This window comes from Homo sapiens, chromosome 3 (assembly GCF_000001405.40).
Source record: "Homo sapiens chromosome 3, GRCh38.p14 Primary Assembly".
Lineage (NCBI taxonomy): Eukaryota > Metazoa > Chordata > Mammalia > Primates > Hominidae > Homo > Homo sapiens.
In genome coordinates this window covers 73734071-73734901 of record NC_000003.12, presented here as the reverse complement: position 1 = coordinate 73734901, position 831 = coordinate 73734071, and positions in this window count along the sequence as shown.

Here is an 831-nt window from a genome sequence, read left to right as displayed (position 1 = left end):
ATTTGCAAAGAGTGTTCTCTGGACAATCAGAAAGTGTATTTGCATAAATTGTGTTTAAGACTTCCCTATTCAGCTCTGCACACCCTTCCCACGTCCACTACCCCTATTCTTATGAAAAAGAATTGTTGAGATCAATAAAATTATCTGTCTTATATTGATTAAATTATACAAATACTACTATTATTAAACTGTATTCTTCAGCTTTCTGAGACAAGGGAAAAAATACTTTCTGGTATGTAAGTTCAAAGAAATAGACCCCTTACCAGACATGAGCAGTTGTCTTGGGAATGCAGATTTATGAAAATTGATAGCCTGTCTTTGTCTGGCAAAACAAAGTGCCTTTCTTTCCCGTTTTGTTCTCTGCCTGTGTAACAGAGACAATTCTTTTTTTTTTTCTTTTTTAGGAAGGGAGGGGGATGTGACTTCTTAAATTAAACATACCTCTCAAGTCCTCTGCAAGGAAACACCTCTAGGGTCTCTGCACTCCTTTGAGCCCCAGAAAAAAAGATGTTGACTTCAAGTTCAAGCTGAAATAAAGACTGAAAGCAAATAAGTTGGGGTAGAAGGAGACAGATGTTCAGATCATGTGTTTAAATTGATGATAAGTAAACAGGTTATTATAAACAAAGCCAAACAGCTGGACATGGTTACAGAGTGCTTTTTTAAAAAGTAAAATAAATAAAATTAAAATTTTCTTTTAAAAAATGAGAATGTAGAAAAATGTAAAAAGACGATAATTTTGTTCTATTTTGGTATCAGGGAGACAGTATCAAGGTTTTTATATTTTTCATTTCCATAAATTATGTTTATATGCATGTTACACTTACCTAG